Source organism: Homo sapiens, chromosome 10 (assembly GCF_000001405.40).
Source record: "Homo sapiens chromosome 10, GRCh38.p14 Primary Assembly".
NCBI lineage: Eukaryota > Metazoa > Chordata > Mammalia > Primates > Hominidae > Homo > Homo sapiens.
The window spans coordinates 86,835,755-86,859,409 of record NC_000010.11 but is presented as its reverse complement, the minus strand read 5'-3'; the positions used below and the strand labels follow the sequence as shown (position 1 = coordinate 86,859,409).

The 23,655-nt window shown below is 39.7% G+C and overlaps 1 protein-coding gene and 1 pseudogene across 36 annotated transcripts in view, besides 3 other annotated features; one reads left to right on the top strand and one right to left on the bottom strand.

Moving 5' to 3' along the window:
- Positions 1-23,655, bottom strand: part of BMPR1A (bone morphogenetic protein receptor type 1A) — a 177,082-nt gene that overhangs the window by 73,435 nt on the left and 79,992 nt on the right. For 14 of the 36 annotated variants that reach the window (NR_176213.1, NR_176212.1, NR_176211.1 and 11 more), the window contains one exon: positions 20,431-20,545. The exons of 4 other annotated variants lie outside the window; for them this stretch is intronic. The gene's annotated coding sequence lies outside the window, so the exon portion shown is untranslated. Of the gene's footprint in view, positions 1-2,197; positions 2,247-7,618; positions 8,041-15,340; positions 15,443-15,899; positions 16,005-20,430; positions 20,577-22,244; positions 22,320-23,655 lie in introns of all 36 variants that reach the window. 18 more of the 36 variants (NM_001406562.1, NM_001406564.1, NM_001406572.1 and 15 more) reach the window with 11 other exon arrangements.
- Positions 2,937-3,518: an enhancer, noted in NCBI's record as "H3K27ac-H3K4me1 hESC enhancer chr10:88615649-88616230 (GRCh37/hg19 assembly coordinates)". NCBI's record gives its function as "activates a minimal SCP1, AML or CMV promoter by ChIP-STARR-seq in naive H9 embryonic stem cells {active_cell/tissue: H9 hESC(naive)}" and the evidence as "EXISTENCE:reporter gene assay evidence [ECO:0000049][PMID:30033119]".
- Positions 3,052-4,717, top strand: RPAP2P1 (RNA polymerase II associated protein 2 pseudogene 1; annotated as a pseudogene).
- Positions 9,841-9,890: a silencer, noted in NCBI's record as "silent region_2574". NCBI's record gives its function as "represses an Ori minimal core promoter by ATAC-STARR-seq in GM12878 lymphoblastoid cells {active_cell/tissue: GM12878}" and the evidence as "EXISTENCE:reporter gene assay evidence [ECO:0000049][PMID:35858748]".
- Positions 21,354-21,946: an enhancer, noted in NCBI's record as "OCT4-NANOG hESC enhancer chr10:88597221-88597813 (GRCh37/hg19 assembly coordinates)". NCBI's record gives its function as "activates a minimal SCP1, AML or CMV promoter by ChIP-STARR-seq in naive H9 embryonic stem cells {active_cell/tissue: H9 hESC(naive)}" and the evidence as "EXISTENCE:reporter gene assay evidence [ECO:0000049][PMID:30033119]".

Below are 23,655 nucleotides of genomic sequence, written 5' to 3'. Positions count from 1 at the left end.
ATCACTTGAGCCCAGGAGTTTGAGACCAGCCTGGGCAATGTAGTGAGACCCCATCTCTATACTTCAAAAAATAATAATAATAAAAGAAAATAGATGATTCACTTTGTCTTTGGTGCCTTTGTCTTACATTTAAGTCTTTAATCCATTTTGAGTTTATTTTTGTATATGGTGAAAGACAGGGGTACAGTTTCACTCTGCATATGTATATCCAGTTTTCCCAGCACCATTTATTGAAGACTGTCTTTTCCCCAAAGCATGTTCTTGGCGCCTTTGCCAGCTGGCTATAAATATGTGGATTTATTTCTAGGTTCTCTATTCTGTTCAATTGGTCTACTGTCTGGTTTTATGCTAGTACCATGCTGTTTCAGTTACTACAGCTTTGCAGTATATCTTGAAGTCTGGTAGTGTGATGCCTCTAGCTTTGTCCTTTTGGCTCAGAACCGCTTTGGCATTTGCAGTCCTTTATGGTCCTATATTAATTTTAGGATTTTTTTTCTATTTCTATGAAGACTGTCACTGGTATTTTGATAGGGATTGCATTGAATCTATAGCTTGCTTTTGGTAGTATGGTCATTTTCACAGTATTAATTCTTCAAATCCTTGAATATGGATGTCTTTCCATATTTTGTGCCCGCTTCAATTTCCTTCATCAGTGTTTTATAGTTTTCCTTGTAGAGATCTTTCACCTCCTTGGTCAAATGTATTTCATTTTTTGGTAGCTTTTGTAAATGGATTACTCTCTTCTTTTTCTGCTAGTTCATTATTGGTGTATAGAAACACTACTAATTTTTGTATATTGATTTTGTACTCTGCAACCTTACTAAATTCATTTATCAGTTCTAAAAGTTTTATGGTGAAGTTTTTAGGGTTTTCCACATATATATATGATCGTGGCAATTCGACTTCCTCCTTTCCAATTTAGATGCCCTTTATTTCCTTCTCTTGCCTAATTGCTCTAGCTAGGACTTCCAGTCTTCATCTTTCACTATATCATTTTGCAATTCCAAATGTAAAACACTGATATAAACACAATTTTAAAATACTGAAGAACAAAATAATAAGTTTAACAAATAGATGAATCATATTACGTACAGAAAGCTTCAATATAAGGTATGTCAACTGTTCCTAAATTAATTATAAATTTAATGAAAGTCTTTATCACATTAAGGAAGTTCCCTTCCTAGTTTGCTGAGAGGTTTCATCATGGAGTTAAATTTCATCAAGTGCTTTTGCTTCATCTAGTGATATGAGCACAGAGTTTTTCTCCTTCAAAATGTGCAAATGAATTAATAAATTAATACTAATTCATATTAAGAACTTTACTGAATAAACCATCTGTGGTGGTTTTTAAATATGTCCACAAACTCTTTCATACTCTTCTTTTTAAGAGGTGGAAACTAATTCCTTTGAGTATAGGTTAAACTGAGTGACTTCTTCTAACAAACAGGATACAGGAAAAACTACAGGCTTCTGCCTGTAATAACAGCACTTTGGGAGGAACAGGCAGGAGGACTGCTTGAGACCAGGAGTTTGAGACCAGCCTGGTCAACATAGCAAGACCCCATCTCAATTTAATTTAAAAAAAAAAAGAAACGAATAAAGTAATGACTAGGTCTTAAAAGGCACTGCAGCTTTCTCCTTGTTTTTTTTTTTTTTTTGGATCACTAGATCTGGAGAAAGCCAGCTGTCACAGTGTGAGGATACTCGAGCCTATGGGAAGGCCCATAGGGTGAAGAACTGAGGCCTCCTGCCAACCACCATGTGAGTATGCCACATGGAAGTGTATTCTCCCCGAGTCAGGCTTTCAGATGACTGTAGCCCCTGCTGACTTCCTGACTGCAACCTTGTGAAACATAAAGATTAGAACCACATCCAGCTAGGCTACTCCTGAATTCTTGTAAATTAGGGTTTCATGTCATTAAGTTTTGGGATAAACTGTTATGCAGCAATGATAATTAACACACTTATCTTGCATTCCTGGGATAATTTCAATTTGTCATTATTGTATAATAAATAATGTATTCAGTCTTTGACCCTAGTTCTTGGGAGAGAACCTCTAATTCATGGAATTTCCTTGGTAGTAGGAATGCCTTTGTTACTCACGAGCCTCATGGATCATTCCTGAGATTATGCTAACAATTGACTCAGAATGGGGGAGATTATGCTAACAAGATGACTCAGAATGGGGTCTGCTCACCAGAAAGGCCACCATGTGTAGAAGGATGGGGTTTGAGCTAGCCAAGCCTCTAAGGAAGAAAGGAGAGAACACTGAAAGTTTGAGTTCAATCACATGGCCAATTATTCCATTACACCTACATATAAAATCTACACACACCATAGCTCAGGTAGGCTTCCTCATTGGTGAGCATACTGATGTGTCAAGAGGGTGACATACCCTGATCCCAGGAGAAGAGAGCACAGAAGCTCCATGTTAGGAACCCTCCCAGTACCCTGTATCTCATTTGGCTGGTCCTGATCTGTATTCTTCATAATTAAAGTGTAACTTAAGTATACCACTTTCCCAAGTTCAGTCAGTTAATTTATAAATTATCAAACTTGAGGGGATTCATGGGAACCCCCAGATTTGCAGCCAGTTAATCGGAATAACAGGTGGTCTGGGGACCACCAAACTTTTAACTTGTACTCGCAGCAAGGGCAGTCTCGTTGGGAACTGCACCCTTAAACCTGTGGAGTTTCATGCTAACTCTGTCAGAACTGTATTACAGTCAGCATTGTAGACATGAGATATATACATATAAAATATTTAAACATAATACTGGACTTCTTTTGCTCCTATCTTGTTAGATTTTACACAAGCAAGACTGGTCTATAATTTATTTCATATTAGCCATGCTTGGTTTTGGTACCAAAGTTATACTAGTCACAATAAACTGAGGAACTTTCCTTAATTTGCTATTCTCTGGAATGGCATGTGTAAATCTGGACATACCTACGACATGGACAGTTTAAAAGAATTCACCCTTAAGATAACGTGGGCCAGGTAGGGAGATGGTGCCTCGGGGCGAGACTCTGGAGCTGGTCCAGACCCGCAGACTACTCTCTCCCATGGCTGACTGCCCTGGGCTGCAGAGGGCCAGGGCTCCCACCATTCTCGAAATGCCACAGGTACTAAACAGACAAGTACTTTGAAACAAGAAGATGCTTCTAAAAGGGGAAGTTCATTACACCTGCTCACTACAACGATGTAGTGAATGAACATTCTATTGTCAAACTCTGTGGTTATCCTTTATGTCACAAGAAGCTGGGAATTAAATATAAAATTTCAAAACCAATAAAGTCTATGATATTACTGAAAGAAAGTCTTTTTGCAGCAATTTTTGTTATGAAGCATCTGAGTTTTTTGAAGCACAAATTCCCAAAACTCCAGTACGGTGAGAGGCATCCAGATTTTCAACTGCTAAAGGAAGGGCAAAGTGGCCATTCTGGAAAAGAAATAGTTATGCAGTAAAGCCATTAAAACATCAGATATCAACAATCCTAGCCAGTTTGAAAAGCAATATGAATCTTCTAGCAATTGTTCTTCCAGCACTCATAATGACAGCAGCAGTGATAATGAGCAAGACTTTGTTTCCTCCATTCTACCAGGAAACAGACCAAATTCAACAAGTATTAGACGACAGCTGCACCAAAAAAGCATAATGAAAAAGAAAGCTGGTCTCAAAGCTAATGCCAAACACAAAGAACAGACAGTAGTGGATGTCACTGAGCAGTTAGGCAATTGCAAATTAGATACTCAGGAGAAAGCTGCCACATGTGAACTTCCTTTACAGAAAGTAAATACTCAAGAGTTCTTCAAATAGTACTTTTTTGAAAAGTACTATTTCAAAAAATAGAAATACTATTTTCAAAAAATAGAAATACTATTTCAAAAAATAGTACTATTTCCTGAAAGATTATAGCTTCAGAAAATTCTGAAAGTAAATACAGTAGGTCAGAAATAACTCTAATAGGCATAAGAAAAGTATGGAGCATTTTAACAGAAAATTTGCCAAATCAAACCAAGTTTCTAAGTCAGTGTCTAGTTCAGTGCAGGTGTGTCCTGAAGTGGCAAATAGAAACTTACTTAAAGTTTTGAAGGAGACTTTGATTGGGTGGAAGACAGAAGAAACTGAGGTTTTTGTATGGCCAGAATTATGCTTCTGTGTGTCTGAAACCTGAAGCCTCTCTGGTTAAAAAACTTAGCGACGCAGGGTGTGGTGGCTCACGCCTGTAATCCCAGCAGGTTGATCACCTGATGTCAGGAGTTCGAGACCTGATGTGAAACCCTGTCTCTACTAAAAATACAATAATTAGCTGGGCGTGGAGGCAGGTGCCTGTAATCCCAGCTACTTGGGAGGCTGAGGAGAACTGCTTGAACCCAAGCAGCTGAGGTTGCAGGGAGTGGAGGTTGCACCACTGCATCCCAGCCTGGGCAACAGAGGGAGACTCTGTCTCAAAAAGAAAAAAAAAAAAAAAGAAAAAGAAAAAAAAAGAACTTAATGACATAATCTCAGACCCAGATAGTCATTCCCCTGCCTGGAGGGAGTCTCAACAGCTTGGAAGAGTCTTTACCTTTTAGGTGCTCAGATACAGCCATTAAACCACTGATGAGAACTTGGAAAAAGAAACTGAAAAGTTAAATCTGAGGATCAGGGAGTTTTATAGAGGATGATACGTTTTGGATGAAGAAACCACCAAATCACAAGACTCAGAAGGGATACGTCTTAAAGACAATGAGCTTTTCCAGGTCGTTAACATTTGGAAAACTCATCATAGCAAATCTTGGAGCAGGAAGTGTTGCGGGAAGTCAGGGACCCCAAACGGAGGGACTGGCTAAAGCCATGGCAGAAGAACATGGATTGTGAAGATTTCATGGACATTTATTAGTTCCCCAAATTAATACTTTTGTAATTTCTTATGCCTGTCTTTACTGCAGTCTCTAAACACAAATTGTGAAGATTTCATGGACACTTATCACTTCCTCAATCAATACCCTTGTGATTTCCTATGCTTGTCTTTACTTTAATCTCTTAATCCTGTCAGCTGAGGAGGATGTATGTCACCTCAGGACCCTGTAATAATTGCGTTAACTGCACAAATTGTAGAGCACGTGTGTTTGAACAATATGAAATCTGGGCACCTTGAAAAAAGAACAGGGTAACAGCAATGTTCAGGGAATAAGAGAGAGAACCTTAAACTCTGACCGCCGGTGAGCCGGGCGGAACAGAGCCATATTGCTCTTCTTTCAAAAGCAAATAGGAGAAATATTGCTGAATTCTTTTTCTCAGCAAGGAACATCCCTGGGAAAGAGAATGTGCCCCTGAGGGTGGGCCTCTGAAATGGTCCCCTTGGGTGTGGCCGTCTTCTATGGTCGAGACTGTAGGGATGAAATAAGCCCTAGTCTCCCATAGCGCTCCCAGGCTTATTAGGACAAGGAAATTCCCGCCTAATAAATTTTGGTCAGACTGGTTGCTCTCAAACCCTGTCTCCTGATAAGATGTTATCAATGACAATGGTGCCCGAAACTTCATTAGCAATTTTAATTTCGCCCCGTCCTGTGGTCCTGTGATCTCGCCCTGCCTCCATTTGCCTTGTGATATTCTATTACCTTGTGAAGCACGTGATCTCTGTGACCCACACCTATTTGCACACTCCCTCCCCTTTTGAAAATCACTAATAAAAAATTGCTGGTTTCACGGCTTGTGGGGCATCACGGAATCTACCGACATGTGATGTCTCCCCCGGACGCCCAGCTTTAAAATTTCTCTCTTTTGTACTCTGTCCCTTTATTTCTCTAACCAGCCAACACTTACGGAAAATAGAAAAGAACCTACATGACTATCGGGGCAGGTTCCCCAATAAGGAAGGATAATGAAGAGATAATTGTTAAATTTTCAGTAGTTTCTTTAGTCATTGTGCCTTTTGGTTTACAGTGCCATCTCCACAGTTGGCATTACTATTTTACAGATAAGTTGAAATTTGCCCCTAGTAAATTTTCATAAATGTGCAGTATTTTTTCTAATGTAAAAATAGCCTAAAATGGTGGGACAAAGTTTTCACTAATTCTTCATATAATAAATGAAGTCTCTGAAGAGGCCTGTTTTTTTTTTTCTTAGAAAAAAAGATCATCTGGGCCAAAGGCTTATCTCTGAATATATGAAAGTGGGTGGTTCTTTTAATTACAAATCCAATTTCTCTAACAGTTACAGAAATATCCAGGTTTTCTATTTACTCTGTGTCAATTTTCATTGTTATAATTTTCTAGAAAATTGACGTTTAAATTGTAAAATTTATTGGTATAAAGTGATTCAAGATATTTTATTTTTAAGACTTTCTTCTGTATCTTCCTTTTATATCCTCAGTATTATTTGTACTTTATATTTTTTCTTGATCAATCTTTCAAATAGTTTATTAGCCTTTCATAAAAAACAACTTTCAGCTCTGTTAATCCTCTTCAATGTATCTTTTTTTAAAAAATTCATCATTTCAAGCCCCAATTCTATCACATTTATTAGCTAGAGGCTTGGATAAGTTTCTCTCTGTGCCTAAGTTTCCTCTTGTGTAAAGTGCACATAATAACAATACCCTCCTCATATGGCTTTGTGAAGATTAAATGAGATAACCTTTGTAAAGAACATGGAACGGTGCTTGGAATAGAGTAAGAACTCTAGAATTGTTAGCTTTTATCTGTATTCTCTATTTTACTTCACTTGAATTTACTGCCATGCTCTTTCCCTAACTTAGATTAGCTTATTAGTATTAAAATCTTCTTTTCAAATATGAATATTTAAGGCTTCAGGGTTTCACACACGTTTTAATATGTCCTAAGTTTCTTTTTCTTTGAAATAAGGTCTTGCGCTCTGTAGTCCAGGCTAGAGTGTAATGGTGTTATCATGGCTCACTGCAGACTCAACTTTGCAGGCTCAAGTAATCCTCCCATCTCAGCTTTCTGAGTAGGGGCTACAGGGGGACACCACTGTGCCGGGCTAATTTTTATTTTTTTTTGTAGACGCAGGGTCTCACTATTTTGCTCAGGCTGTTATTTTCTCTATTGTTTTGTTCTAGGTGTTCACTAAATTGATTATTTTATATTTAATCTGTGGGATTTACAGAAGTGTGTTTTTAAATTTCCCAATGTGTACAGTTTGTTATTCACTTCCTACATGCTTTCTCGCCAGAAAACATGGTTGATTTTATTTGAAATGTATAAGAACTTGCTGTATAGCCTAGTAAATGGTCACTTTCATAAAACACTCCACGTGTGCTTGAAAGAACTTTTTTTTTTTTTTAACAGTTGTGAGGGGTATTTCAGACTTTTCTTTTTTAAAGGCAAGGTCTTGCTCTGTTGCCCAGGCTGGACTGCAGTGATGTGATCACTGCTCACTGCAGCTTCCAGCTCCTGGGCTCAAGCCATCCTCCTGCCTCAGCTTGTCCAGTACAGGCATCTGTCACCATGCCTAGCTCGGACTAACTTCTAAAACCAAATGACCTTGCCATTCTCTCTGCTTAAAAACCTAAAAAATATCCTCATTTCATACGATAAAATTAGTAACGCAAGACTTTTTGTCATCTGACAACTGCTGAGACCTCTACTACTCTCCTCCCCTCTCCTCCATACCCTTACGATGCTCCAACTCTACCAAAGTCAGTGCAGCCGCTCTCCCTTCACAGGCACTCCTTCCAGGCTTCCATTACTCTGCACAGCTTTTGTGTCTTCGTTGTTCTTTGCCAGAGTAACTACAATGTTCTCTTCAGGACTTGATCTGCGAGTTCCCTTGTGTATGCAATCCTCAATCCCAACTCATTAGGCTGCTTGAGGAGTCCCGTTCAACTTCCAGTACACCCCGCACACATCACAGCTGCTTTGCAGATCTTGAGCAATGTTCACTCAAAAATGACTTAATGATGACTTGGTTATGTGCCATGTAGTGACTATCCAACGGTAAATAAAAGAGACATGATTCCTCCTCTTATAAAGCTTAGTCAGCTGATTTTTTTACTTATCTTGCAGCAATGTAATTGCCACTGTCTAGCACATTTCTAAACAAAGGAATAAAAATGTTCAATAAATAAATTTAAGAAATAAAAAATAGTAATAACTTGCTAAGGGCAATATATTTGGGGAATTAAACCAACCATAAAACCATAAAATGCACTCTAACAGTTCTTTGTAAGTATAATGGCATCTAAAAATATATCTCTAGATCTTACAGTAACGGCCAGTTACTACTGACAGTGCTAGCTCAAGAACTTCGTTCCCAAAATCACCATCCTTTTGTGATTTCTAGACATCAGAGAACAGAAATTTAGACTCACATCATAAAATGGAGGACCTGAATATACTTAAAACCTCTTCTTTCCAAAATATTTCTGGTTTATTTCATATTTTGAATTAGCTTAAAACTTTCAACTATCATGAATAGTTCAGCGCTAAGTTTACCGGTTTTTTATATTATGACATAAGAAATCTAATAATATAAAGCTGTATTCATAATTCTTTCTCATATTGGTACTGAACAATGCACCTACTTTATGTAAAAACAGGCTTATATTTCCTGAACATATAAGGGCTGTCTTTAAAAATTATCACCTCAAAAAGGAGAACTTTAGGCCAGGTGTGGTGGCTCATGCCTGTAATCCATCTCAGCACTTTAGGAGGCTGAGGCAGGAGGATCACTTGAGCCCAGGAGTTCAAGGCTGTGGTGAGTCATGATCATGCCACTGCACTCCAGCCTGGGCAACAGAGCAAGACCCTGTCTCAAAACAACAACAACAACAACAAAACTTTGAGCTAAATTAAAGGACTAGTTCTAAAGACTAGGAAATGTTAAAATGGGTTTAAGTAGCCAATCTAGTGAATTACACCCTCACTGGGCAGAGCTGGCTAGCTTGCAAGCTGGCTAGAAATGCAGAATCCCAGACCGTGCTGAATTAGAATCTTCTAACAAGACCCCCAGGTGACATGCGCGTACACTAAATTTGAAAAGCAGTAGATAAGACCACCTTTATTTAGCTGCTTAGTCTACCCTGTTTAATTTAAGCATCCTGGAAATATTCACTTATTGAGCAATGAACTGTTTTTTTTTTTTTGAAATGGAGTCCGCTCTGTCACCCAGGCTGGAGTGCGGTGGCGCTATCTCAGCTCACTGCAACCTCCGCTTCCCAGGTTCAAGCCATTCTCCTGCCTCAGCCTCCCAAGGAGCTGGAATTACTGGCATGCACCACCATGCCTGGCTAATTTTTGTATTTTTAGTAGAGATGGGGTTTCACCATATTGGCCAGGCTGGTCTCAAACTCCTGACCTCAAGTGATCCACCCACCTCGGCCTTCCAAAGTGCTGGGATTACAGGCATGAGCCACTGCACCCGGCCTGAGTAGTGAATTTTTTTTAACTTCCACTCCCCTACTCTCCCCACCCCAAAAGAGAGCAAGATGCTTTCTGGATGCTTCGTAGTATTTACTTACTCACCCAAAATATATTTATTGTTCATACACTGTGTTAGCTGCCATAAACTGTTACTTTTTAAATGGCACAGGTAAACGCTAATAAAATTCAGATGAGGAAAGGAAAGTTAAACTAATATTTACTGAGTGTCTACTATGAGGATGTGATACCTAGGAACAACATTCCCTGGTGTCTATTATTTGCCAGGCATTGTTCTAGATACTGCTCAAAATAACTTTCTGCAATCATGAAAGTCTCTATGTTACTCAATAAAGTAGCCACTAACCATATGTGGCTACTCAGTAGTCAAAATACAAGTGGCTAATGACAACCATATCGGAGAGTGTAGTTCTAGAAGCTTATACTTACTACCTATTTGATTCACTGACCAATCCTGACAAGCCAGTGTAAATGTGGATCTAAGGCACAGAAGTTACTGGTAGACTATCGAAAATGGAATGACTAGTAACAGAGCACAGAAGCTGCAGTTCAAATCCAAAGACATGGGAAGAGAAGATTAATTCTAGGCAATGGGATCAGATAAGCCTTCATCAAAGTGTTGGCATCTAAGCTCACACTTGAATAATGGACAGATTTCAACATACTAGGATGTGAGAGAGGCATTCCAGACTGGGAAATCCAGAGGCAAAAGCACAAAGTCAGAAAAGCATGGTAAAGATAAGGAATAGAGTGAGATCAGTAAGACTGAAAAACAGCATTACTATATAGTTTTATATTTGGTTTATCTTACCAATTACGATTTTTCCTAAAGAACAAAGGAATAAAGAATGATTAAGTGTAGGCAGGAATTAATTCATAAGATTCTCAAATGCTAGTGTAAAGTAGCCTGAACTTTACTCAGCAGACAAGGAGAAATCACTGGAGGTTTCAGAGCAAAGAAGTGAGTGCACCATGGTTTAGAAAAATCACTCTTGAAGCATTACATGGGATGAAAGGGACAGGGTGAGGTAGATAAGCCAAAGGGTAATTACAGTAGTTCACACAAGAAGTAACCATCCCAACCAAGAGGCAATGAGAATAGGGAAGTGGAAGAAAACTATTATAGAGGGGGGGCTGATAAAATTTAGCAACTTCTAGATCTGATAGAAAGCAGAGATGCAGTTGTCATAGGTGGTTCCCAGATTTAAATCCTGGGTTGCTGGAAAAATTACAGACCATCAGGAGACAGAGGTGCAAGAAGCTTTTGAAAATATACAAGCAGCTCTAACTAAGGCTGGGAGAATAAACAAATGTGTTCCTACTGCTCCTAAATCCTCAGAAACAACAGAAAAATGTTTAAAAATAGAAGAATATTATGTGTAACCGAGATGGAAGAATGGGTACCAAAGGCAGGAAGAAAAGGTAGTATGTTAAAAGCAAAAATTATTAAATATATAACAAAAAAGTGGAGTTAATTTATAAAACCAAAATGCTGGCTCTTTGAAAAGACCCATGAAATTATCTAGAAAGTTCAATATCCCTAGGAAGTCTAAGCACAAAAATAAAGAACAAATAAATAATACGAAGTACAAGGAGGCCTACCAAAAATAATTATAAATATTCAAGCATAATAATATTAAATAATAGTTAACACTTAGAGCTCTATAGGCCAGGCACTGTTCTACATACTTCATATGTTAAATTCCTTAATCTTCACACTAACTTTATGAGAGGGATATTCTCATTAGGCATAATTTTATAAGAATAAATCTGAAAATCAAGAATAACTGTATGGACCAGGCGTGGTGGCTCACGCCTGTAATCCCAGCACTTTGGGAGGCCAAGGCAGTTCGGCCTTGAGGTCGGGAGTTCAAGACCAGCCTGACCAACATGATGAAGCCCCATCTCTACTAAAACTACAAAACTTTAGCCAGGTGTGGTGGCAGGCGCCTGTAGTCCCAGCTACTTGGGAGGCTGAGGCAGGAGAATTGCTTGAACCCGGGGGGCGAAGGGTGCAGTGAGCCAAGATGGCACCACTGTACTCCAACTTGGGCGACAGATGGAGACTCTATCTCAAAAAAAAAAAAAAGTATCATTTTCTATAAAGATATTAATACAAAAATTAACTCAACAGGGAATGGAATACACAAACAGACCAATAACCTAAGAAACAGAGGTCCCCAAGATGGCAGTGGGATGGAGGGCAAGGAGGGTGGTGAGGAGGGCAATGGGGTGAAGGGTGGGGAAGAGGGACTAAAAGGCTTTGGTGCATAGTGTTTAAAATTTTATATAGGAACTTATTAATAGGCTGCTTACATAATCTTTATACACACACATACACACGTGTGTGTGTATTTTTAAATAGAGATGGGGTCTCGAACTCCTGGCCTCAAGCAATCCTCCCACCTTGGCCTCCCAGAGTGTTGGCATTACAGGCATGAGCCACCGTGCCTGGCCAATATATAATCTTTTAAAAATAAAAAAAAGATCATTTTAAAAAGAGGCAATGAGGAAAAAGAAAAACAAAAGGGGCAATGAGACGTTCCCTAACCCCTGCCCTATAAAAGACAGAGCAGGGAAGGGAGAAACAAAAGGAAGGAAGAAAGAATACATAAGATATAATCAGAGGTTAAACTGGAGTATCTGTGACACCGAGACTGGAAATTACCTTTCACAGTTGAAACCATAAGACAGTAGTGCAAGAGAGAAATTATTAGGCTGGAAGATAAAGTTAGGAATTGAAGTGTAGTAAGAGAATATGAGGAGAAAACCTCATATTACCTGAAAACCTTGTGGCATGCTCTCCCCACTATACCATATGGAGCTGCAAGTTCCCAAACCACCGTCTGCATCTAAAAGTACCCCAAATGGGCCAGGCGCAGGGGCTCACGTCTGTAATCCCAGCACTTTGGGAGGACAAGGTGGGTAGATCACTTGAGGTCAGGAATTCAAGACCAGCCTGGCCAACATTGTGAAACCCCATCTCTACTAAAAATACAAAAATTAGCAGAGAGCAGAGCGAGACTCCACCTCTAAATAAATAAATAAATAAAATTAAAGCACCCAAACTGGAGAGGGATCAAAACCAGAAGTAAATCCGCTAAGCTTAAATTAAGAAAAAATAATAGTATCTTTAAAACTTAAGAGGAGACAGTCTGAATGGAAGAGAGTGGGACTAAACAGCCTCTTTTTCTGGAGTTGCAGAATAATCAAAAAGCCTGAAAGCGAGACCTGGATGACATTTCTGAGACCAGGAGTTCTAGGTTTCTCTACAGAAGCAAGTGGGTGTGTGGTTAATTTTTTTTGTGTGTGTGTGGGCGGCGGGGGACAGAGTCTTGCTTCGTCGCCCAGGCTGAAGTGCAGTGGCGCAATCTTGGCTCACTGCAACCTCCACCTCCAGGGTTCATGCCATTCTCCTGCCTCAGCCTCCCGAGTAGCTAGGATTACAGGCATGTACCACCATGCCCGGCTAATTTTTGTATTAAAAGGGTCCAAAAAGGAAATAAGAGACCAGAAGCCTGGAGAAGAGGCACGCTGACGGCCCTAAGGCAGGGAACACAAAGTGCCAATCTTTATCTTATGTGAATGCCCAACACAAGGCACCTCCCACAGAAGAGGCATTCAACTACACCCCAAGGACAGACAGGATGGCTTGTCAGTGCTGTCAGCCAGCTTCTTCCCAAGGCTGGAGTACCAGGCCCGTCAATGGAGCCTGTGGAGTGACAGAGAGGAAGGCTCTACATAGGCCCAACAGCATGGGCTCCTTCTTATGAAGGGTGACCTAACTACTGCCACTGCCAAATGCCAGCTAACAAGGAGGGTGCAGAACCAACACTCCAGATGCGGGCTTGCCTTCCCTACCCAGAGAACACCCTACTGCCAGCACAACTGAGGGCTCTTAGAGCATTCTCATATGAATGTCAAGGATGGAAATAAGAGCTCAGGACCAGCTGCAGTGGTAGGGATTTTAACCCTCTTGTTTCAGAGATATATACATATATCTATATATATATAATTTTTTTTTTTTTGAGACGGAGTCTCGCTCTGTCACCCAGGCTGGAGTGCAGTGGCACGATCTTGGCTCACTGCAAGCTCCACCTCCCGAGTCCACGCCATTCTCCTGCCTCAGCCTCCCGAGTAGCTGGGACTACAGGCGCCCGCCATCACACCCGGCTAATTTTTTGTATTTTTAGTAGAGACGGGGTTTCACCATGTTAGCCAGGATGGTCTCGATCTCCTGACCTCATGATCCACTCGCCTCAGCCTCCCAAAGTGCTGGGATTACAGGCGTGAGCCACTGCACCTGTTAGATATTTCTTTTAGTGATCATAATCAGCCACCAATCTGCAGGGTCAGTGACAGAGTAGATCTAATGGGGCATGAGGGAGTCTCACTGGTAAAAGGGGCAGACCACAGCAGACCTTCGTGGTGCTCTGCAGCTCACCCCTCTCCGCACTGTGGCTCTGGTGGGCAGGTCTATGTGGCATGCACAGCACCTGACTCAAGTGGGAGTGGAGGCACTGCTCTGTTTTGTTCCTCGGAGACTTTGCAAACCTAAGGGAGACTGCTCAACAGCATGGAGGCACAAGCACAGACCTGCCGGAGTTAAAGCTCACGGAGCAACCTTCAATTAACAACAGGTGAAAGTTGGTGCATGCATGTCTCAGGCTCCCTGTCCTTTGGTGGGACAACAGTGAGGTACATTCAGAAGACACCCACAGGGCTGAAGCCCAGCTGCCCGCAGGGGGAACTGGATCACCCACTTAATGAAACTTCACTCCCTTCTCTGTCTCACTTTTCCCATTCTCTCACTTCTGCTTTTTGGTTCATCTCCCAAATAACCTATCAGCCAGTAAGTCTTTTTCTCAGGCTCTTCTTTCAAGGGAACACAAACTAAGTGGTAAAGTCAAGATTCAAACTGAAGTCCTCTGGCTACACTGCTTGTGCTTGTAAACAGAGTATGCTGCACTGGGCACAGTGGCTCACTTTGGGAGGCTGAGGTGGGCAGATCACCTGAGGTCAGGTGTTCAAGACCAGCCTGGCCAACATGGCGAAACCTCATCTCTACTAAAAATACAAAATTAGCTGAGCGTGGTGGCGGGTGCCTGTAATCCCAGCCTCTCGGGAGGCTGAGGCAGGAGAACCACTTGAACCCAGGAGACAGAAGTTGCAGTGAGCCAAGATTGTGCCATTGCACTCCAGCCTGGGCAACAAGAGTGAAACTCCATCTAAATAAATAAATAAATAAAAAATAATAGTTCAACACAAAGCCTGACTTAAAAAACAAACAAAACACAAATGCCTTCCTTCCTCAATAATGTAATGTCTTCCAGTTTTACACATGTATAATTATAATTATAAAACAATTAGTGATTATTTTCAACAGAGAGTATTAGACTGTTTCTAAATATTGCAAAGTTCTAAATCAGTCATCAGTTAACAGTTGATAAGAATTTTAATAAATGCATTTTAAAAGCCAGTTTTATATAATTAACTTACTGCCTTACTGTACAATATTTCTCTAATGGACAGTACCATAATAATGCCTATCTGTTAATATGGAACCATCGAATTCTACTGAATGAATTTTTCACAGGTCCCCATTCCTTAAGCGGTAATTCTATTAAAACAAGATACCATCCTTTGGTAATGGTGTCTGAATTATACCTGTAGAAATACTTTAAACATTCTTAAGTTTTACTAAATCTTACATAGCATTTAACATGATAGCAAAAGAGGTAACTATGAACAGAATACAGTTTATTTCCTTAAAAACTGCTTTTGTAAAAGAGGTCATACTTTGCTTTTTTCATAAAATCTCCCTTTGAATATGTTAAGGCTGGAAAAATAATGCCAAAAAAACTTGTTGCACATAAACAAATTAAGAGACCAACAGTACAGTAAAACATAAATTTTAATGTTTCTCTACATTTAGAAAAGTAGGATCCAACTTACCTTGGCTACTAATGAGGCCAACATTATCCCCACCATCCAGGCTCAAAATTCAGGCGGCATCATCTCTTTCCAACATCTAGTCACACATCGGTGTCCCTTCTTCTGCCGCAATACCTTTATCATTGAGTCTTTCTTTTCTATTTCCACAATCACCACCCTGATTGAATTCTGATCAGCTTATGCCTAACTAGTGCCACAATCTCCTCACTCGGCTCCCTACCTCCTCACTTCATTTCTCTAATGATGTATAGTTTATATGTCACTGCTAGAGTAATTTCACTAAAAGAGCTTTCTTCACATCATACTTCCTGCCCTTTCTAAGACCTTCACCACATTCCTACAAAAACATTCATTTTCTATCCATGCACTTTTCCAGAAATATCCTTTACCCATCTAAATTTTACTCATCTTTCAAAGCTCAGCTCACATAACCTCCTATGTTCTACCTGTGCTTCTCAGTTACAGGACTCTGACTAGAAGCAACAATTTACTCCTGTGGCATTCCTCACTTTTGCATGGCAATGTTGGTTATCATTACTTATATTACTTATATACATACCTTGCTAACTGGACTACACACCAAGGGTGGGGAGCAGGTTACTTTCTGATTCCTCCTTTGTGACTTGCTGCCACATAGTTTAATAGGGACCAAAAAAGTAATATCCTGTAGAATAAAAATAAGTGCTTTGGGGGCTTTAGACTAGGAAAAGACATATATTTAGAGTCAAAGCAATACAGATTAGAAAGAACTTTAGGGATGAATTGGCATTTGAGATGGGGTTTTTAAAGTTCACAGGCACTCCACAAGAGAGAAAGGGCCAAAAATATGCCAAGAGAAGAGAGTAGAGAAAAGGAAGGACGATTTCAAATCACCAGCTGAAGAGTATAGTACATAGGGGAATAGAAGAAAATTAAACATTTTCTAAACAACCAATGCTTAAACGGGTAAGTTGACCTCCATCTTAAGTTGACAGCTTCATTATTTCTTGCTTGAAACAGTTAAGAATAGCCTAACTTGTCTCTCTAGTTTTAGTTTTTCCTTTTTCCAAACTACCATTCATATCACCAACGATATGGTTTGGCTGTGTCCCCACCCAAATCTCCTCTTGAATTGTAGCTCCCATAATTCCCCCATGTTGTGGGAGGGACCCAGTGGGAAATAATTGAATCATGGGGGCAGTTTCCCCTATACTGTTCTCTTGGTAGTGAATACGTCTCACAAGATCTGATGATTTTGTAAGAGGTTTCCCCTTTCACTTGGCTCTCATTCTCTCTGCCTGCTGCCACCTAAGATGTGCCTTTCACCTTCTGCCATGATTGTAAGGCCTCTCTAGCCACATGGAACTATGAGTCCATTAAACCTCTTTCCTTTACAAATTGCCCAGTCTTGGGTATGTCTTTGTCAGCAGCATGAAAACTGACTAACACAACCATCATATTAATTTTAACAAAAAATTACGATCCAAAATATCTTTAAATGTTAAAATTTTTCAATGACTGCCCATTTTTCACAAAATAAAGTCTAGACTCCTTGCCATGGCATTCAAAATTCTTCATAAGGTCCTTTCCAGCCTTGTCCCTCAAACTCTCTCTCCTATTCTAAATTCAAGCCATACAAAAATTATTCTATCTTCTGTACATTCTATACACTTTCAAGCTCTGCCTCCACCCCGCTCTGGGCTCTGCATGAAATTAATTCCCTTGCCTTCTGTGAGTATGGAAAACACTCAAACTATTTTTCCTCTGCCCTCTCACCAAAACAATCAACAGGGAAGACTTTTCTTACCAAATGTGTGAGGGTTTCTCCCCATCAACAAGCAAGCAGACAATTCTGCATCAGACACCAGCTGGAACCTCCAATTAAATTCCGACACTACCCACCTGGAGACAGCATCAGATCCCACAGGTTGAGGGATCCATCCTCAAGACGGCCCCCACTTCCAATGCCAATGGCAAGCCCAGGTTATTTTACCTGTGCTTCTGACCAACCAGCCATAAATCCAGGTACCCACAACCCCTTTTTCAGGTTCTATTAGTTTGCTTAGAGCGGCTGACAGAATTCAAGGAAACATTTATGTTTACAGGTTTATTATAGGGGATGTTACAAAGGACAGATAAAGAGATGTACAGGGCACCAGAGCCTGCACATGTTCAGCTATCCAGAAGCTCTCTGAACCCAGTTCTTTTGGATTTTTATGGAACGTTCATTCTGTAGGCACAACTAATTAAACCACGGGTCACTGGTGATCAACTTAACCTTCGCCCTTCTCCCCTCCCTAAATGTTGGGGGTTGGTGGGGGCGGGAACTGAAAGTTCTGACTCTAATCCTGCCTTAGTCTTTCTGCTGACCAGCCCCCATCCTAAAGCTACCTAGGGGGCTGTCATCTACCAGTTAACTCATTAGCATACAAAAAGACATCACTTCAGAGGTTTCAAGGATTTTAAGAGTTGAATGCCAGGAAATGGCATCAAAAACACATATGTATTTTACAGTATTACACTTTCCAATTTCTATTCAGCAATCTTCTATTCATCCATCAAGACTCTGCTCAAATATTATCTCTTCTGTGAAGCCTGCCTGACAATTCTCTCCTCTCATAACATTGGTGTAGTCTTTCCAGGTGATGCCAATACACCTTTGTTTTCTGACATGGTCACCTGTATTTTCAAATTCTTTTGAAAATTATAGCTGTATGTAATTATGGGCATATCAGTGATGTTATAGTTATCATCTATGTACACAGTGTGGAATAATCAAATATATCTTTTCAATTATAATATAGCACTTCTCAGATTGCACTTCAATAATTGTTTTCATGCTCATCCAACCCTAGAAAGACTATTTTTTGAGTATAGCTAGGAACCTGTTTTTATTTAATGTTTTGCATTCTGACCTAACACAGTGCCTGGCATACAGTAGGTGTTTAATAAATGTTTAAAGGGTGAAAGAAATGGACAGATGAAGGCAAAGCTACACTATCTTTAAAATTAGAGGAATCTGTCCTTACTCTGGCAGACAGGCAAAGTGTCACCGACAATACAAGCAAAATTATCTCTTAAGATAATTTAAGCTGGCAGCAACATGTAAAATGAAGTAGGAGCGAGAAGCAGCACAAGCTGGGAGATCCCTGCAATATTTTCAGTGAGATGTAACATAAAGACCTAAACTTGGATGGTGAAGGGGGATTCGGAAAGAGAGGATTCAAACATTTGTGATACATTAGAGAGGTAAAACTGACAGGACTTCACTTGTGCCTAAGGGTAGGAAGCAAATGATGAGGAATCCGAAACAGCACTGAGACTCTGAGCCTGGGTGACAAAGAGGTCCATTAACAGAAGGAGAAATAGCGGGTGCAGAGCTCATGATGAATGATGTGCTAGATAATGGGAAGTCTGAGGCACTAAGCTGAGCCATCTGTAAACAGATGAAAATATGGGCCTGAAGCTTAGAGAAAATGCCACAACTGAGATAGGAAGTTGAGAGAGATCATTTTAGAGATAATTGCGGAAATCATGAGACTAGGAAAGACATAAGAAAAAAACAGGATAATTTCTAAGATAAAACCTTGGGGAAGGTCATTATTATTTAAGAGTAGGAGGGGAAGGAAAAAAGGTCAAGGAGTAATTAAATAAGTAGAATCAGAAGAGCACACAATCATAGAAACCAAAAGAACTGAGAAAGAAAAAAACGATCACAACTCTACCAATCAAACAATATGAAACCTAACAAAAGAATTCGAGAGTTACGTTATTTTTTAGAAGATCTAATCCAGCGGTTTGGCAGGGGCAGGAGAAGGGCGAGTGAATGCTGCAAGTATTAACAGTAGCAGCAAGCAAAGCCTGCCACTTCCAGAAGTGTAAGCGTAGACCACTTCATAAAACCATACATTCTATCTATTTCTTAAAATGTAGATTCCCCACATAATTCAAACCTTTTACCTGATCATTAGTCTCTAAATGGATTTTAAAACAGTAAGCCTGATTTTCCTGTACATACTGTCTTAGGATGGCTTCTTTCCTCCTATTTCTGGCATGATGGCAGCTCCTACCTCTTTAAATTCTATTTCCAAAGATCTATTATTCTAACATGTTAAAAAATCTTATCCTGGGCTGGGTCTGGTAGCTCATGCCTGTAATCCCAGCACTTTGGGAGGTTGAGGTGGGAGGATCACTTGAGTCCAGGGGTTCAAGACCAGCCTGAGCAACACAGAGGGATAATGAGACCCTGTTTCTACAAAAAATAAATTAGCTGGGCATGGTGATGTGTGCCTGTAGTCCCAGCTATGTGGGAGACTGAGGCAGAAGGATCGCTTGAGCCCAGGGAGTTGAAACTATGCTCACTGCAGTCCAGCCTGGGTGACAAAGCAAGATCCTGTCTTAAAAAAAAAAAAAATTCTGAATTCTAAAAAGCGTAAAAATTTCAGAATAACATAAACATTCATTTTTCAATATAATCTTTTTTTTTTTTTTTTTTTTTGAGACAGAGTCTCACTCTGTTGCCCAGAATGGAGTACAGCGGCATGATCTCAGCTCACTACAACCTCTGCATTCTGGGTTCAAGCAATTCTCATGCCTCAGCCTCCCAGGTGGCTGGGATCACAGGCTTAGGCCATCATGCTCAGCTAATTTCTGCATTTTTAGTAGAGACGAGATTTCGCCATGTTGGCCAGGCTGGTCTCGAACTCCTGGCCTCATGTGACCCACCTGCCTCAGCCTCCCAAAGTGCTGGGATTACAGGCACACCTGGCCTAATCTTGCATGCTGAACTCTGCTTTGCAAACTTAGGGGGAAGAAATAAACATATAAACCATTTAATGCTTATCTTCTAAAAGGAGATTTATGAAAGTGATTAGTAAGAAATAAATACCTTTCACTCCTGAAGAGGTTCAACATTTATGAGGAATATATATTAGAATTACTTATGAACTCGTCAGGAAGATGATTAAGGAAACTAAAGAAGCTACTATAAAGTTGTGGTGTTACAAAGAAACTGAAGAAGGCTCAAATAAAGTTGCAGTGTAGAAGGATTATTTTCAACTATTAAAAAATGAGAAATTTCATATTATTCTAAATTATGTTCTTTTCCTTACCTCCAAGATGTGGCTAGATAAAACTGTACTTCTGATTTTCTCCAAACAGCTTTGACCTATGCTTCCATCTCATGAATTCCAAGACAGTATTAAACTGATGCATATTTTCATAAGTCTGTTTAGAAAAAAAAAGAACTTATTTAAGACTTAGGGAACTTTGTCAGAATAATACATCTAGAAGCAATACTAGAAGCGTTTCGCATGTACAACTATACATTTTCAAAGTAAAGTCAATGAAAATTTCTACAGTTTTTACGAAATCTATCACTTTACCATTTTCCTCAACCTCTGCCCAAGCTTTACATTTGTAAAGTTAGTTCTGTGGGAACAGTACTTCCATATAAAATTCCTATGTTATCTTAAGCTTTGATGGAAAAAAAAAAAACTCATCTCAATTTGAAAAAAAAAAAAGAACAGGAATAGCTAGAAGCAGCACCGAAATGTACAATTCTACAATATTCAGATTCCTACTTAGACAAAAATATATTGGACCACCTAGCTAATATCACTTTTTTCTACTTTTGTATTACAAAGTCTAATAACCAGTTTTAATTTCAGCCACACTTCTACCTAGAACATTAGGACTTGTGAGGTTGAAGAATTAATTGCACTGGTTGGTCTATGCCTGTGGAATAGGTCTAAACTACCGTATATTAGTACTGCTATTAACACCTTACCCTTTAAGGGGCAAGCATTCATAAATCTAAAAGATAGAACTATTAAAGCTTAAATTATTATTATTATTATTTTTGAGACAAGGTCTTGCTCTGTCGCCCAGGCTGGAGTGCAGTAGTGCCATCTCGGATCACTGCAACTTCCGCCTCCTGGGTTCAAGTCATAAAAAAATTTCTAAAGGTATGTCTGCTGTTTACTTTGCGATCTTAAAAATCATTCAATCTTTTAACGGAAACTTCAAATAGCAAAGTATTCTGTTTCGTGTTTTAAAAACTGTATGAACGTTGCCTATGCCCCATTGCAAGGTCAAATACCTTGTCTTCAAGTCCATTTAGAAGTATCACACTGAGGTTTAGCAGTCTTGGCGATAATGACTAAATTCATGTAAACTAGGGCAACCTGAAACGGTCTAGCATATCAGGTAGCAGTCTTTCTTAAAGACAAGAGTCTCCGCTCAGCAGACAGGCTGCTGTATCTTTCATGGTCCGGCTAAAGACAGCCTGACCCTGAATGCAATTAGTAATGCTTTGTCTGCATTCAGGAGCCTTTCAGTCTTCTCAATGCACTAGTTACCTACAACTTAGCCAGGTCTCTAACATTTTTCAGAGTCCTCATATGACTATAAAACTCTCAGGCTGTCGCTCAGAGAAATGAGGGAAGGCAAAAATAAAGAGTTGGTGTTCAGTGTTCTTCTGAGATGCTCATAATCTTTAATTTCCCTTTTACTAATCAAGAAAAGAAATGCACTATTTCCATTTTAGAAATGGCATAAAGAGATTTTCCTCCAAAGCCATTCTTTGCCAACTACACCATTCTTCCCTAAGGGTGTGGGAGAGAGAGCAGGCAATCACTGTATTAAACAAAGTTCAAATGAATTTATCCCCATAAAAGTAAAAACAGTCCATCAAAGTGTCTGTTTCAAAAATATATGGCCTGGCCAGGTGCAGTGGCTCATGCCTGTAATCCCAGCACTTTGGGAGGCTGAGGTGGGTGGATCACTTGAGGTCAGGAGTTCGAGACCAGCCTGATTACACACACACACACACACACACACACAGACACACACACACACAGCCTGATTCTAATTCTGCCAGATATTTCCAATGTATCATTATAAAATTAACATGTAAACTACTTACCAACTATTGTTTATTACAGCACCATTTACTAAAACATTGTTTCCTTGGCTAAAAGTTTTAGGCTTCAGGCTAAATCTAAAGTTTAAAAAATAGCGAATAACATAACCAAAAGAGCTTTCAAACATCCCATCTTCAAAAGTCCAAAACCCCAGATGATCTGTTCTTCCCTGTTTTCCCACATGTACAAACACTTAACATAAACTTCAGAAAACCTTTTCTTCTTTTTCTTTTTTGAGACAGGCTCTGGCTCCATTACCCAGGCTGGCGTATAGTGGCACAATCACAGCTCACTGCAGCCTCCACCTCCTGGGCTCAAATAATCCTCCGGCCTCAGCCTCCCGAGTAGCTGGGACTACAGGTACATACAACCATGCCCAGCTAATTTTTATATTTTTTGTAGACATGGGGTTTTGCCGTGTTGCCCAGGCTGGTCTCGAATTCCTGGGCTTAAGGAATCCTCCCACCTCAGCCTCCTGAGTAGCTGGGACTACAGGCGAACACTACCATGCCAGGTTAATTTTTATATTTTTTGTAGAGACAGGGTCTCGTCATGTCGGCCAGCCTGATTTCGAACTCCTGACCTCAAGTGATCCGCCTGCCTCGGCCTCCCAAAGTGCTTAGATTACAGGCATGAGCCACTGTGCCCAGCCCAGAAAACGTTTCCTAAAGACTGAATTTAAGACTAGCTAGTCCCGCACATGTATCCCAGAACTTAATAAAATAAAATAGACCAGCCAAGGAAAATCAAGTAAGATTTGACTTCATTACTCAGAGGTAAACAAAAGACACAGGAAAGGATATGCTCCACAGTACAGCTCTGCAAGTCACATTGTACACACTGGAAGTTGTGTGAATAAAGGTTAGGACCTTTGCAATATAGTGCTATAGTCCTATGAGCACAGATCTATAAATATGTATACACATAAAAATAAGATGTACATGAGCAAAATGTTCCAAACAACTTTAATCACTTAGCTTACTGGGTAATTTACCACAGGCTTTTAACACTATGAACTTGTGGTTCAACAACCACCAGGGGTGTTAGTCAAAACAAAACGCTAAGTAAGTACAAGTCATTTTTTCAAAGATTTTGTGTCTGAAATTTCTAAGCCTATTAGTTGTAGAAAACACATTAAAAAGAAGGCAATTCTTTAAAAAACATATGCAAGCTTCTTAATGACATGGAAAAATGAAAATCAAACATTTCTAAATATATTCTAACATTCATAACTCAGAGCTAACATCAAAATTTCTTCAACATTAATAATTATTTGCAAACAAACACAAAAAGTTCATTTTAATTCCACATTTCCCTTACAAAACATCTTTTCTTGTCATCAGAATGTATGCATCCATCTTGGTTTTCAAAATTATTAAAATGGTTAAATCTTAAACCAACAAGATACTTTAA